The 15,010-nt window shown below is 35.4% G+C and overlaps 1 protein-coding gene and 1 long non-coding RNA gene across 3 annotated transcripts in view, besides 1 other annotated feature; both read left to right on the top strand.

The window, feature by feature from the left end:
* The window catches only part of TNFSF4 (TNF superfamily member 4), a 277,864-nt gene that overhangs the window by 154,207 nt on the left and 108,647 nt on the right, over positions 1 to 15,010 (top strand). The window lies entirely within an intron of this gene.
* LOC100506023 (uncharacterized) overlaps positions 1 to 15,010 on the top strand; it is a 242,096-nt gene that overhangs the window by 180,629 nt on the left and 46,457 nt on the right. The window lies entirely within an intron of this gene.
* Positions 931 to 1,131: a silencer, noted in NCBI's record as "peak458 fragment used in MPRA reporter construct". NCBI's record gives its function as "represses an SCP1 promoter by STARR-seq MPRAs in K562 erythroleukemia cells {active_cell/tissue: K562}" and the evidence as "EXISTENCE:reporter gene assay evidence [ECO:0000049][PMID:32103011]".

Here is a 15,010-nt window from a genome sequence, read left to right as displayed (position 1 = left end):
GATCACTTGTGTGTGGCATAGGTGGCTTTTAAAGCTGATTTAGATTACTATGAAAACTCTGTATTTTTTTGTGTGTGTTTAAGCTCTTCCTCTTCAACATATTGTAAGCTCCTTGAAGGCATGACTCATCCTCACACTTTTTTCTTCCTCTTTGGCTCCAATATGTAGAATAGAATGCCTTCTATATATTAGGACTTTAATAAATATTTGTTGGGTAGAACTGAAATTCACGTAATGAGACATGTCATTTGCAATGGGTAGCTGTGCTTGATGACATCACCTTTGGTTTCCAAGGGGTCAGGATTTCTAACCAAGCACATTCTCTTCCTAACTCTTTGGCTAACTCATACTTGTCTCAAAAATCACTTCCTCTGAGGAGCCCTCTAGGATGACAGAAAACTGGGCTAGGCACTCCTTCTGTGTGGTTGCATAACATCTTTTACTTCTCCATTTAATAGGAATGTACTAGGGTTCTTAAAAACATTCATGGAAAATGTGTATTATGAAAAAACTATGCATAGATTTCAATTTTTTTCACCCAAATAAACTTGTACTAACTTGCTATAACATGTCTGAACAGGAGCTAGTTTGAGATACTTAGAAAGATAAGATGTCAGTTTGAAAAAAGACCCTATCAGAGCCATACAAATTCTGCTAAAATTGAAGCAGGAACAAACATCAAATTTATGATGAAGTTTGGGTGGAAGAGTGGTGAAATCAGTGATGCTTTAAGAAAAGTTTATGGGGACAATGACCCAAATAAATCAGCAGTTTACAAATAGATAGCTCATTTTAAGAAGGGATAAGATGACGTTGAAGATGAAGCTCACAGTGACAGAGCTTCCATGTCAATTTCCAAGGAAAAAATTCATCTTGTTTATGTCAGCTCTCTTCAGGCCTGAGGATTAACAGCAGAAACAATAACTAACACCACAGGCATCTCAATTGGTTCTGCTTACACAATTTTGACTGAAAATTAAAGTTGAGCCAACTTTCCATTTGATGGGTGCCAGTACTGTTGTGTCCAGATCAGGTGAAGACATGAGCAAGAGCTTTCAAAGGAAATTTTAAACAAGTGGGATCAAGATCCTGGGGCACTTCTTTGAACAATGATTAATTCCTTTTTATTATAGGTTAGTATTTTGTGGGATGGATACATCACCATTTGCTTATCCATTTGTTTCATGATGAATTTAGGTTGTTTTCAGCTTTTAGCTATTATGAATAAAGCTGTTATGAACATACATATTTTTGTGTGAAAATGTGTTTGCATTTCTCCTGGGTAATTACTTAGACGTGGAATTGTTGGGTCATATGGTGAATGTATGTTTAACTTTATAAGAAATGGTCCAAGTATTTTAAAAAAGGGTTGTATCATTTTCAGCTTCCACCAGCAGTGTATGAGAGTTGCTCATCTATACTTGTTATTGTCAGTCTTTTAAATCCTAGCCATTCTAGTGGGTGTGTAGTGGTATTTGACTGTGGTTTTATGTTGCAGTTTTCTGTTGACTAATTATGATGAGCATCTTTTCATGTGTTCATCAGAGATTTGTATAATTTTTGTGATGTGACTATTCAAATATTTTGCCCGTTAAAAAATTGGATTGTCTTCTCAGTATTCAGTTGTTAAGAATTTAAAAAATATATATTCTGAATAAAAGTTTTTTCAGTCATATGTACTGCAAATATTTTTCTGCCTGTCTGTGGCTTTTCTCCTAGTCTGCCCTCTGTATCCACAGGTTCCACATTTGTGGATTGTTCTTTTCAAAGTCCAACTTTGAGTTTCACTGATTTTTCTCTATTGTTTGCCCCATTTCAGTGTGATTGACTTCTGTACACATATTTATTATTTTGCCCTTTATTGTTTGGGCTTAATCTGTTCTTCCTTTTTATTTTTTGGGGGGTTTGTTTTGTTTTTACTTTTAAAAAACTTTTATTTTAGGTTTAGGGGTACACCTGCAGGTTTATTACATAAATATATGTTGTGGAGGTTTGGGGTATGAATGATCCCATCACTCAGGTAGTGAGCATAGTACTTGATAGTTTTTGAACCCTCATCTATGACCCTCCCCATTCTAGTAGCCCCAGTGTCTATTGTTCCTATATCTGTGTCTGAGTGTACTTAATGTTTAACTCCTACTCGTAAGTGAGAATGTGCAGTATTTGGTTTTCTGTTCCTGCGCTAGTTTACTTAGGATGATAGCCTCTGGCTGCATCCATGTTGCTGCAAAGAACATGATTTTGTTATTTCTCATGTTTGTGTAGTATTCTATTTGTATATATACCACATTTTCTTTATCTAGTCTACTGTTGATGGGCATTTAGGTTGATTCTATCTGTCTGCTGTTATGAATGGTCCCATGATGAACATACGAGTGCATGTATCTTTTAAATAGAATGGTTTATTTTTCTTTGGGTATATACCAGTAATGGGATTGCTGGGTTGAAGGGCAGTTCTGTTTGCAGTTCTTTGAGAAATCTTCAAATTGCTTTCCACAGTGGCTGAACTAATTTACATTCCCACCAGCAGTGCATAAGCATTCCCATTTCTCCATAACCTTGTCAACATCTGACTTTTTAATAATAGCTATTCTGATTGGTGTGAGACAGTATCTCATTGTGGTTTTGATTTGCATTTCTCTGATAGTTAGTGATGTTGAGCATTTTTAAATATATTTGTTGGCTTCATGTGTGTCTTTTTTGAGAGGTGTCCATTCATGTCCTTTACCCATTTTTTCACAGGGTTATTTGTTTTTCTGCTTGATGCATTAAGTTCCTTATAGATTCTGAATATTGACCTTTGTCAGATGCATAGTTTGCAGATATTTTCTCCCATTCTGTAGGTTGCCTGTTGACTCTGTTGATAGTTTCTTTTGCTGTGCAGAAGCTCTTTAGTTTAATTAGGTCCCATGTGTCAATTTTCATTTTTATCGCAATTGCTTTTGGGGACTTAGTCATAAATTCTTTGCTAAGACTAGTGTCCAGAATGGTATTTCCTAGGTTTTCTTCTAGGATTTTTAGAGTTTCAGGTCTTAAATTTAAGTCTTTAATTTATCTTGGGTTGATTTTTGTATAAGGTGAAAGTAGGGGTCCGGTTTCAATCTCCTGCATATGGCTAGCCAGTAATCCCAGCACCATTTATTGAAGAGTCTTTTCCTCATTGCTTGTTTTTGTCAGTGTTGTTGATGATCAGATGGTTGTAGGTGTGCAGCTTTATTTCAAAGTTTTCTATGCAGTTCCGTTGGTCTGTGGGGTCTGTTTTTGTATTAAATACCAATACTATGCTGTTTTGGTTACTGTAGCCTTATAGTATAGTTTGAAGTTGGGTAGTATGATGTCTTTGGCTGTGTTCTATTTGCTTAGGATTGCCTTGGCTTTTGGCTCTTTTTTCACTCCATATTCTGTGAAAAATGACATTGGTAGTTTGATATGAATACTATTAAATCAGTAAATTGCTTTGGGCAGTATGGCCATTTTAACAATACTGATTCTTCCTATCCATGAGCATGGAATATTTCTCCATTTATTTTTGTCACCTCAGATTTCTTTCAGCAGTATTTTGTAATTCTCATTATAGAGAGCTTTCACTTCCTTGGTTAGCGGTATTTCTTGGTATTTTATTTTTCTGGGTATTTTTAATGGGATTGGACTCTTGGTTTGGCTTTTGGCTTGAACATTATTGTTGAGTAGAAATGTTACTAATTTTTGTACATTGATTTTATATCCTGAAACCTTATTGAAGTAATTTTCAGTTCTAGGACCCTTTTGGCAGAGTCTTTGGGGTTTTCTAAGTATAGAATTCTATTATCTGTGAAGAGAGATAATTTAACTTCTTCTCTTCCTGTTTGGATGCCTTTTATTTCTTTTTTTTTTTCCTGATTGCTCTGGCTTCCAGGACTTCCAGTACTACGTTGAATAGATGTGGTGAGAATGGACATCTTTGTCATTCCCCACTTCTCAAGGGGAATGCTTCCAGCTTCCAGCTTTTGCCCATTTAGTGTAATGTTGGTTGTGGGTTTGTTATAGATGGCTCTTATTATTTTGAGCTGTGTTTCTTTGATGCCTCATTTGTTGTGCATTTTTAACATAAAGGGATGTTGAATTTTATTGAAAGCCTTTTCTGCATCTATTGAGATGATCATATGGTTTTTGTTTTTAATTCTGTTATGTGGTGAGTCACATTTATTGATTTGCATATGTTGAACTAACCTTGCATTTCAGAAATAAAGTCTACTTGATCATGGTGAATTAACTTTTTGATGTGCTACTGGATATGATTTGCTAGTATTTTGTTGAAGATTTTTGCATCTATGTTTATTAGGGAGATTGGCCTGAAGTTTTTTTTCCTTGTGTTTCTGCATGATTTTGGTATCAGGCTGATGCTGGTTTCATAGAAAGAGTTAGAGGGGAGTCCCTCCTCTTCACTTTTTTGGAATAATTTCAGTAGGATTGATACTAGCTCTTCTTTATACGTTTGGTATAATTCAGCTGTGAATTTTTCTGGTTTAGGTTTTTTTTTTGTTGGTAGATTTTTTTTTATTATTGATTTAATTTTGGAACTGGTTACTGTTGTGTTCAGGGTTTCAATCTTGGGGAGGTTGTGTGTTCAGGAATTTATCTATTTCTTCTGGGTTGTCTAGTTTGTTTAATAGCCTAGGTGTTTGTAACAGCCTCTGAGGACTATTTATATTTCTGTGGGGTCTTTTGTAATGTCACCTTTGTCATTTATATTTGTGTTTATAGGGATCTTTTCTCTTTTTTTCTTTGTTGATCTAGATTTCAGTCTTTTAATCTTGCTTATTCTTTCAAAGAGTTAACTTTTGGTTTCAGTGACCTTTGTATGGATTTTTGCACCTCAGTTTCATTCAGTTCTGCTCTGATTTTGGCTACTTCTTTTCTTAAGCTATGTTTGTGGTTGGTTTGCTCTTATTTTTCTAGTTCCTCTAGGTGTGATGTTAGGTTATTAATTTGAGATCTTCCTACTTTCTTGATGTAGGCACTTTGTGCTATAAACTTTCCTCTTAACATGCTTTAACTGTGTCCCAATGATTCTGGTATGTTGTGTCTGTCTTTTCATTAGTTTCAAAAATTTTTTTGATTTCTGCCTGATAGAGTTTAGATATGTGGCCCTGCCCATATCTCATGTTGAAATGTAATTCCCAGTGTTGGAGGTGGGGCCTTTGGGAGGTGATTGGATCATAAGGGTGGACTTCTTATGACTGATTTAGCACCATCCCCTTGATGCTGTCCTCATGATAGTAAGTGCTCATGAGATCTGGTTGTTTCAAAGTGTGTGGCGCCTCCTCCCATCCGCACCCTTGCTCCTGCTTTTACCACGTAAGGTGCTCGCTCCTGTTTTGCCTTCCACTAGGAGTGAAAGCTCTTTAAGGCCTCCCCAGAAGCAGATGCCATTGTGCTTCCTGTATATCCTGCAGAACCATTAGACAAATAAACTGCTTTTCTTTATAAATTACTCAGCCACAGGTATTTCTTTATAGCAATGCATGAATGAACTAATATACTGCCTTAATTTTGTTCTTTATCCAAAAGTCATTCAGGAGCAAGTTGTTTAATTTCCATGTAATTGTATGATTTTGAGAGAGCTTGTTGGTATTACTTTCTTTTTTTATTGCACTATGGTTTGAGAGTGTGGTTGGTATGATTTTTTTCTTTAATTTCTTGAGACTTGCTTTGTGGCCAGGCATGTGGTTGGTCTTCGAGTATGTGCCATGTGCAGATTAGAAGAATGTATATTCTGTTGTTGTTGGGTGGAGTATTCTGTAGAAGTCTATTAGGTCCAATTGGTCAGGTGTCAGGTTTAAGTCTGGAATATCTTTTTAGTTTTCTGTCTCGATGATCTGCTTAACACTGTCAGTGGGGTGTTGAAGTCTCTCACTATTCTTGTGTGGTTATCTAAGTTTCTTCTAAGAATTCGTTTTATGAATCTGGGAGTGTGAATGTTGGGTGCATATATGCTTAAAATGGTTAAGTCTTCTTGTTGAATTGAACTCTTTATCATTATGTAATGCCCTTCTTTATTGTTTTTTATTATTTTTGATTTAAAATTTGTTTTATCCAACATAAGAATAGTAACCCCTGCTCTTTTTTTGGTTTTCTTTTTGCATGATAGACCTTTCTTCGTCCCTTGACTTTAAGCCTATGAGCGTTACATGTGAGGTGGATCTCTTGAAGACAGTAGATAGTCGGGTCTTGCTCCCTTATCCAACTTGCCACTTTATGCCTTTTAAGTGGGGCATTTAGCCCATTTACATTCAAGGTTGATATTGATGTGTGAGAATTTGATCCTGCAATCATGTTGTTAGATGGTTGTTATGTAGACTTGATTGTGTAGTTGCTTTATAGTGTCAGTGTGCCGTGTACTTGAGTGTGTTTTTGTGGTGGCAGATATGTTCATGATGTTTTCGTTTTAAGGTAATTTGATTATAATGTACCTGGTCAGGTTTTATTTATTTTTATTCTGCTTGTGGTTCATCAAGATTCTTGGGTCTATAGGCTTGTAATTTTCACAATACCTTGGAAAATGTTGAACCATTATTTCTTCAGATTTTTTTTTTTTAGCCTCAAATATATCTCTTCTCCTTCTGGAACTCCAGTTACACTTCTGTTGGATTTCTTGATATTGCCCTATAGCTCACCGAGGTTTTGTTTATTTTTTTCTATCTTGGTACTTAGGTTTAGGTGGTTTCTATTGCATATCTTAAACCTCACTGATGTATTCTTCTGCAGTTTCTTATTTGCTGTTAATGCCATTCACTGAATTTTTCAATTCAGATACTGCATTTTTCAGTTGTTGAATTCCCATTAATTCTTTTAATCGTCTATTTTACTCTTATTATGTTCATGTGTTCATTTACACACTTGAGCTTATTGTTTGTTAATTTTGCCATTAGTGTCATTTCTTGGCTGATTTTACTGACTTTTCCCCCTGCTGGCTATGGGTCACATTTCTCTCATATTTGCATGTCTAGTAATTTTAAAAAGTAATTTTTATTATATGCTGGACATTGTGATTGTTACATTGCTGAATGTTTAGATTTGGTTGTCTTTCTTTAAAGAGTGTTGGAAAAATTCTGAGAAGCAGTTAAATTACTTGTGGATCAGTTTATTCATTTTAAAATTGTTTTTAAGCTTTGGGAAATTTCAAGATAGCATTCATTAACTAAAAAATTGCCCCCCCGACCCCTCACTTATGTGAGCGCTGTGTCTCTTACATTTCTATATAAATCTTCATCTTAGAGCTCTCCTATAATTTTTGGCCTCACGTTATGCCATCTACACAGATGGTTTAGTATTTATCAATGGACTCAAGGGGACCACATTGCATATTTTTAGAGGTTTAGAGCCTTTTCTATGCATAGTTTCCTTTTCTCCAACACTGACTTGAAAAACCTAATCACTTTGGCCTCCCTGTTCCCCTCAACTCACAGAGCTCCTTTCTGTCTCTTAAACTTAGTGAGACAATTGGTCTCTGCTTGGGTTCTCTTTCTCTGCACTGTAGTCTGGAAATTCCTCCAGGTGGAAATCAAGAGTAGGCATAGGGGTCTCTTAGTTTATTTTCTTTCTCTTAAAAATTCCATTTACATACTGTGTACAATTTCTTAAAACATAGTTTCATATATTTTTCTAGTTTTACAAAGGAGAAGGAGAAGTATGGTTTCAATTATTCCATCATGTCAAGTGGCAGTCCTGATTGGTAGTGTTTTTATTATTGTTTAGTTTTAAAGATTTTGAAATTTCTATTATGATTTTATTTTAACCCATGAATTACTCACAATTGTGTTTTACAATTTTGAAAAGATATGAGAGTTTTAATTTTTTTATTTATTTTGAACTTAGTTTTATTGTACTCTGTGAATGTGTTCTAATATAACAACAAATAACTGAAATTTGTTGGATTTGACTTATTGCTATCTTACAAACATTTCACATGTATATGAGAGAAAAGGGTATTTTTTAATTATTGGGAACCATTTCTATATATGTTCATTAAATCAATCATATTGTGTTTAAATTTTTTATATCTTTGCTAATTTTCTGTTTGCTTGGCTATTTATTTATTTATTTATTTTTGAGACAGGGTCTGGCTCTGTCACCCAGGCTGGAATGCAGTGGCACCACCTCAGCTCACTGCAACCTCTGCCTCCTGGGCTCAAGCAGTCCTCCCGCTTCAGCCCCCCAAGTAACTGGGTCTACAGGTGCATGCCACCACACCCAGCATAGGGATGCAGTTTTGCCATGTTGCCTAGGCTGGTCTCAAACTCCTGAGATCAAGCAATCCACCCACCTTGGCCTCCCAAAGTGCTGGGATTTGGGATTACAGGTGCAAGCCACCCCGTGCTTGGCTATTTATTGATGAGAGATACATGTTGAAATCTAATACCAGATGGTGAAGTTGTTAACTTCTCTTTATAGTTCTATAAATTTTTGCTTTATGTATTTGGAAACTTTAAAGATATTGAGTATACATTACACATGGTAAAATACACAAATCTTAAATGTCTAGTTCAAAGAATTTTTATACATATGAACATACACACATCCCACTATGTAACTGCCTCATCAAGATGTAGAATATTTCTTCAGCTGCAGAAGCCTCCTTTGTATCTACATTCTGTAAATATCCAAAGGAAACCACTGTTCAAACTTGTACCAATATTGATAAGTTTTGTGTGGTTTTGAACTTTATATAATTAGAAACATAAAATATGTATTTTTTGCTCAGCATTATGGTTTAAGATTTATCTGTGTTGTTTTCTGTATCAGTAGAGTTTTTTTAATGTTATGAAGAATTCCATTGTGTGAATTTTTCTCCGTTCTATTATTGACAATCATTTCAGTTGTTTCCAGTTTAGGGGTATAATAAATAACTTTTCTGAGAACATCCTTGTACATATCTTCGATGGAGACCATAAACATTTACATTTATTGATAAATGCCCAGTAGTATAATTGCTGAATCATAGAGCAAGCATCTGTTTTGCCTTAGTAGATATCACTGAACGCTTTTGTAAAATAATGGTACCAATTTACTCTTATATCATTACTGTATGAGAATTCCAGTTGCTCAACATGCTGTCAACACTTGGCATTGTCTATATTTTAATTTTGGTAATTCTGGTGGGTGTGTAGTGGTATCCCATTGTGGTTTTTAAAAATTATTTATTTTATTTTTGAGTCAGGGTCTTGCTTTGCAATCCAGGTTGGAGTGCAGTGGCACAATTACTGCTCACTGCAGCCTCAAACTCCTGGGTTCAAATGATCCTCCTGCTTTAGCCTCCCAAGTAGCTGGGACTACAAGTACACACCACCATGCCTGGCTAATTAAACATTCTTTTTTTTTGTGGAGACATCAGGGGGCATCGGATCTGGCTGTGTTGCCCAGCCTGGTCTTGAACTCCTGGCCTCAAGCAATCTTCCTGCCTCCACCTCCCAAAGTGTTGGTATTATAGGCATGAGCTGCTGTGCCCAGCTCATTATGGTTTTTAAATTTGCATTTCTCTGATGACTATGGATGCTGGGCACATTTTAATATATTTATTAGTTATTTCAATGTCTTTTTTTATTAAATGACTAGATTTGGCTTTTTTGTCCATTGGATTTTTTTCTCTTTTCCATACCAATTTATAAAATGTTGAAGATATATTCTAAATAATAATTCTTTGTTAGATGTACGTATGGAAACTGTCTTATTTTTGTGTTTCTTGCATTTTCATTATCTTAATAGTGTCTTTTGATCAACACATGCTTGATTTTAAGAAAGTCCAATATATTAATCTTTTTTTATGGTTAGTGCATTTTATGTCCTGTTTAAGAAATGTTTGTCTTTCCCAAGTTCAGAAAGAGATTCTTTTATTTTTTTCTATTAGAATATTTATTGTTTTAACTTTCACGTTTAGGTCTATGGTTCATTTGGAATAAGTTTTTGCATGTAGCACAGATTGAGTCTAAAGTTAATTTCAAAAATGGATATCCACTGAATCCATCACTATCTATTGAATTGACTGTACTTTCCTGACTGAATTAGTGTCTTTGACACAAATCAGGTGACTGTATATGTGTAGGTATATTTCTTGCTTAATAGCTATTCTGTACCATTGCTCCATTCTTGTGCCAATATTACACAGTATCTTAATTTCTTCAGTTTCATAATGGTTTGAAGTCAGACAGTGTATGTCTGCCAGTTTTTTTCTTCTGTTAGATTGTCTTGGCTTTTCTAGGTCTCTTACATTTCTATATACATTTTAGAATTTGCTTCTCAATTTACAAAACAAAACAAATCAAATCTTAGCTGGGTTCTTAAGTTGGGATTGAACTGAGTCTATAGAACTATATGAGGTGAAATGACATTGTAACAATTTTGAGTTTTGTAATTCATGAGCATATTATACTCTTCCATTTACTTAAGTTTTCTTTAATTCTCTTGTTATTTTCTGAAGCTACTTTGTTAGGTGTAAAAAAGTTAATTAAAAACATCTTCCAGATAAACTGAATATTTTAACTTTTCTGTGTCTTTTCATATTGGTCAGCGGTCAGCAAACTGTTTTGTAAAGTGTCAGAGTAAGTATTGTCAAGTTTGCAGGTCATGCAGTCTCTGTTGAAATTATAGGCATACCTCAAAGATATGGTAAGTTCAGTTTCAGATTATAGCAACAAGGACAGTCACATGCATTTTTCTGGTTTCCCAGTGCATATAAAAATTATATGTATACTATACTGTAGCCTACTGTGTGCAATAGCATCACGTCTAAAAATAATGTACACAGCTTAATTTAAAAATACTTTATTGCTAAAAAATGTGATCACTTGAGCCTTCATCAAATTGTAATCTTTTTGCTGGTAGAGAAACTTGCCTGGATGTTGATGGCTACTGACTGATCAGGGTGGTGGTTGCTGAATGTTGTGGTGGCAGTGGCAATTTCTTAAAATAAGACAACAATAAAGTTGCTGAACTGATTGACTTTCCTTTCATGAAAAACTTCTCTGTGGCATGAAATGCTGTTTGATTGCATTTTACCCAAGTAGAACTTCTTTCAAAATTGGAATCAATCCTCTCAAACCTTGCTGCTGTTTTACCAACTAAGTTTATGGAATATTCAAAGTCCTTTGTTGTCATTTCAACAATGTTCACAGCATCTTCACCAGAAATAGATCGCATCTCAAAAAAACACCTCATTTGCTCATTCATTCCTATGAATGAGGAAGCAACTCTTTATCCATTCAAATTTTAGCATATAATTGCAGCAATTGAGTCATATGTTTAGGTTCCACTTCTAATTCTAGCTCTCTTGCTATTTCTACCACATCCGTAATACTTCCTCCGGTGAAGTCTTGAACCCTTCACAGTCATTCATGAGGGTTGATATTAAGTTCTTCCAAACTCCTGTTAATGTTGATATTTTAACCTCCAAACAAGAATCAAAAATTAATGGTGTCTAGAATAGTGAATCCTTTCCAGAAAGTTTTCAATGGACTTTGCCCAGATTCATTAGAGGAATTGTTACTTATGGCAGATATAGCCTGACAAAGTGCATTTCTTTAATAGAACTTGAAAGTCAAAATTACTCCTTGATCCATGGACTGCAGAATAAATGTTGTGTTAGCAGGCATGAAAACAACATTTGTCTTCTTGTTTATCTCCATCAGGTATCTTGGGTGATCAGGTGCATTGTTAATGAGTAGTAATGTTTTGAAAGAACTCTTTTTCTGAGGAGTAGGTGTTAATAATGGACTTAAAGATAGTCAGTAAACCATGCTTCAAATGGATGTGCTGTCATTCAGCCTTTGTTGTTCCATTTATAGAGCACATGGAGAGTAGATTTTTACTTAAGGGCCCTAGGATTTTCAGAATGATAAATGAGCATTGGCTTCAACTTAAAGTCATCAGCTACATTAGCCCTTAACAAAAAAGTCAGCCCATCTTTGGAAGCTTTGAAGCCAGACACTGACTTCTCCTCTCTGGCTATGACAGTTCTAGATGGCATCTCCTTCTAGTAGAAGACAGTTTCATCTACCTTGAAAAACCCTGTTGTGTAGTAGAGCCACCTTTATCAATTGTCTTACCTAGACCTTCTGGATAACTTGCTGCAGCTTCTACATCAGCACTTGCTGCTTTACCTTGCACTTATATGTGATGAAGATGGCTTCCTTCCTTAAACCTCATGAACCTCAAAGACCTGTTTTATCCAGGGTCTAGCTACTTTACAGTGGGAGAGTCCTTCAGAGTATGTATCCCACCACATAGGTTAAAGTGGAGGTCTTCAGGAACCATGTTCAGTTGAACTCAGTGCCTGTCACAATGATTCATTGAATGAGTAACTTACCTTCTGGGACTTCTGCTAGCTTCAAACTTTTCTCCTGCAGCTTCCTCACATTTTCCAGCCTTTCTAGAATTAAAAAGAGTTAAAATCTTGCTCCAGATTAGGCATTGGCTTAAGAAATGTTGTGGCTGGTTTGATCTTTCCAGATCACTCAAACTTTTTCTACATCAGCAATAAGGCTATTTTGCTTTCTTATCATTCATGTGTTCACTGGAGTAGTACTTATGATTTCCTTCAAGAACTTTTTTTTTTTTTTTTTTTTGCATTCATAAGTTGACCAACCGTTTGGCACAAGAGGCCTAACTTTCAACCTTTTGACCTATGTACTATTATTGTCATTCCTTTGCTTTGGTCTTTACTTTGTAAAGATCATCTGTCAGTCTGTATTCTTATGGTTTTCTTATAAATAAAATGTTTAGATTTACCTATATGTTTACCATTTTTCTTGCTCATGATTTTTTCAGCATCTCAGACTTCTTTCAGGGAACATTTTCCTACTGACTGAAATATAGTCTTAGAATTTTCTTTAGGGAAGGTTTGTTTGTGGTGACTACCAGCTTTTATTTATCTGGAAATGTTTTTATTTTGCCTTTGTTTTTGTAAGGTAGTTTCAATAGTCTACAATTCTTGGCTGACCATAGATTGAGAGTGCTCTTCTCTAGAGAGGATTTCCAGTTGTTTCTGCTAGCAGCCAAGAGGTTGCCAAACTGAGACCATTTCACCTCTGTCTAGGTTTCTGGCTTACTGTGGGAATCTCTGATTTAGACTACCCTCCTTGATGCTTAGTTTCTCAGTTATCTGCAATACTGATCAAAACAACTTGAAGAAAATCTTGTCTTTTTCTTGCTTGTTGCCCATTGATTCCCTCTCAGGTTTCAACTCTCTTTTTTGGGGGGGGAAAGGATGGGGTGAGAAAGTTGTTGATTGGTGCCTTCAGAGATATCCCGGAAATATACATTCAAAGGCCTGTTTTATCCAGGATCTAGCTACTTTACAGTTGGAGAGTCCTTCAGAGTATGTATCCCACCACATAGGCTAAAGTGGAGGTCTTCAGGAACCATGTTCAGTTGAACTCAGTGCCTGTCACAATGATTCATTGAATGAGTAACTTACCTTTGACATAGGTAAAGAAGGTAGCTGTCAGTATAGCATGTACTGATAGATCTGGGACAGAATTGGTGCTGAAAAATGCTTTCACATTTGCTCCCAGTTGATGCCTGCATCTTTTCTAAATGAGCTTCTTTTAAGTTAAAGCTGATATTATTTAATAAATGGAAATGCCTGCCAGGTTGGTCTCTGTATATAACATATAAAAATTGTCATCAGTCATTTATCATTTATACCTTAGTAAGAATTTATTATATAAACAAAATGAAAGAGTCATCACATGTTTAAGCTAAAGAAACCTTAGACTTTATACATTTAAAAATTTAGGCCCAGTGTGGTAGCTCACGCCTGTAATCCCAGCACTTTGGAAGACCAAGGTGGGTGGATCACAAGGTCAGGAATTCGAGATCAGCCTGACCACCATGGTGAAACCCCATCTCTATTAAAAATACAAAAATTAGCTGGGCATGGTGGCACATGCCTGTAATCCCAGCTACTCAGGAGGCTAAGGCAGGAGAATCACTTGAACCTGGGAGGTGGAGGTTGCAGTGAGCTGAGACAGTGCCACTGCACTCCAGCCTGGGCAACAGAGTGGGACTCTGTCTCAAAAAAAAAAAAAATTTAGACTGTGAAATTTAACATATTCTATCCATATTATTCATAGACAGTGAGTTTAAATGTCTTATATAAGATCCTATAACAAACTCTACAACCACCAAGAAAACACAGACTTTTATTTCATTTTTTATTGATACATAATAATTGTACATACTTATGGGGTGCATATGATATTTTGGTACATGTATGCAATGTGTAATGATCAGATCAGGGTAATCAGAATATCCATCACCTCAAACATTTATCGTTTCTTTGTTTGGGAACATCCTAAATATTCTCTTCTAGCTATTTTAAAATATACAATAAATTCTTATTAACTATTGTCACCCTACTGTGCAATCAAACGCTAGAACTTACTTCTTCTATCTAACTATATTTTTGTACCCATCAACCAATATCTCTTTACCACCCTCACCATGCTTCCCAGTTTCTGGTAATCATTCTACTCTACCTCCATGAGATCAACTTTGAAAAAACAGATTTTTGATAAGAAGATTGTGTGGAGGTTGTGCATGAAAAGACTGGGAGTTGGACACACTTGGCTTTGCCAGTTAGTGATGTGTGACTGGACAAATTCTTATTCTCTCTGTGTCTTAGTTCATTTTTCACTGAAATAGATAATGTTAATATGTCCCTCATAGGATTGGTTGTGAGTATTAAATGAGATAATGTATTTAAAGCATTTAGCAAATGTCTCATGCATAATGAGTTCAATAATGTTGGCTGAAGATTTGATTACTCCATCCTTCTAGCTGTAGAAGCAAGCCAACACAGAGGAGAACCTTGATCTTGAGAACATTGATCACCTTGAGCCATTAGAAAAATATCTAAATGTTATCTTAAAAAAGAGAGCCATTATAGCTTTCTTATGTAAGCATATTTCAGTCATAATATATATTTTTATAATTTAAAGGGATATTCAATAGCTTCCTGAGAAATGCAGTCATA

Source organism: Homo sapiens, chromosome 1 (assembly GCF_000001405.40).
Source record: "Homo sapiens chromosome 1, GRCh38.p14 Primary Assembly".
Classification (NCBI taxonomy): domain Eukaryota; kingdom Metazoa; phylum Chordata; class Mammalia; order Primates; family Hominidae; genus Homo; species Homo sapiens.
The sequence above is the reverse complement of the archived record's forward strand: the minus strand, read 5'-3'. Positions and strand labels throughout refer to the sequence as shown.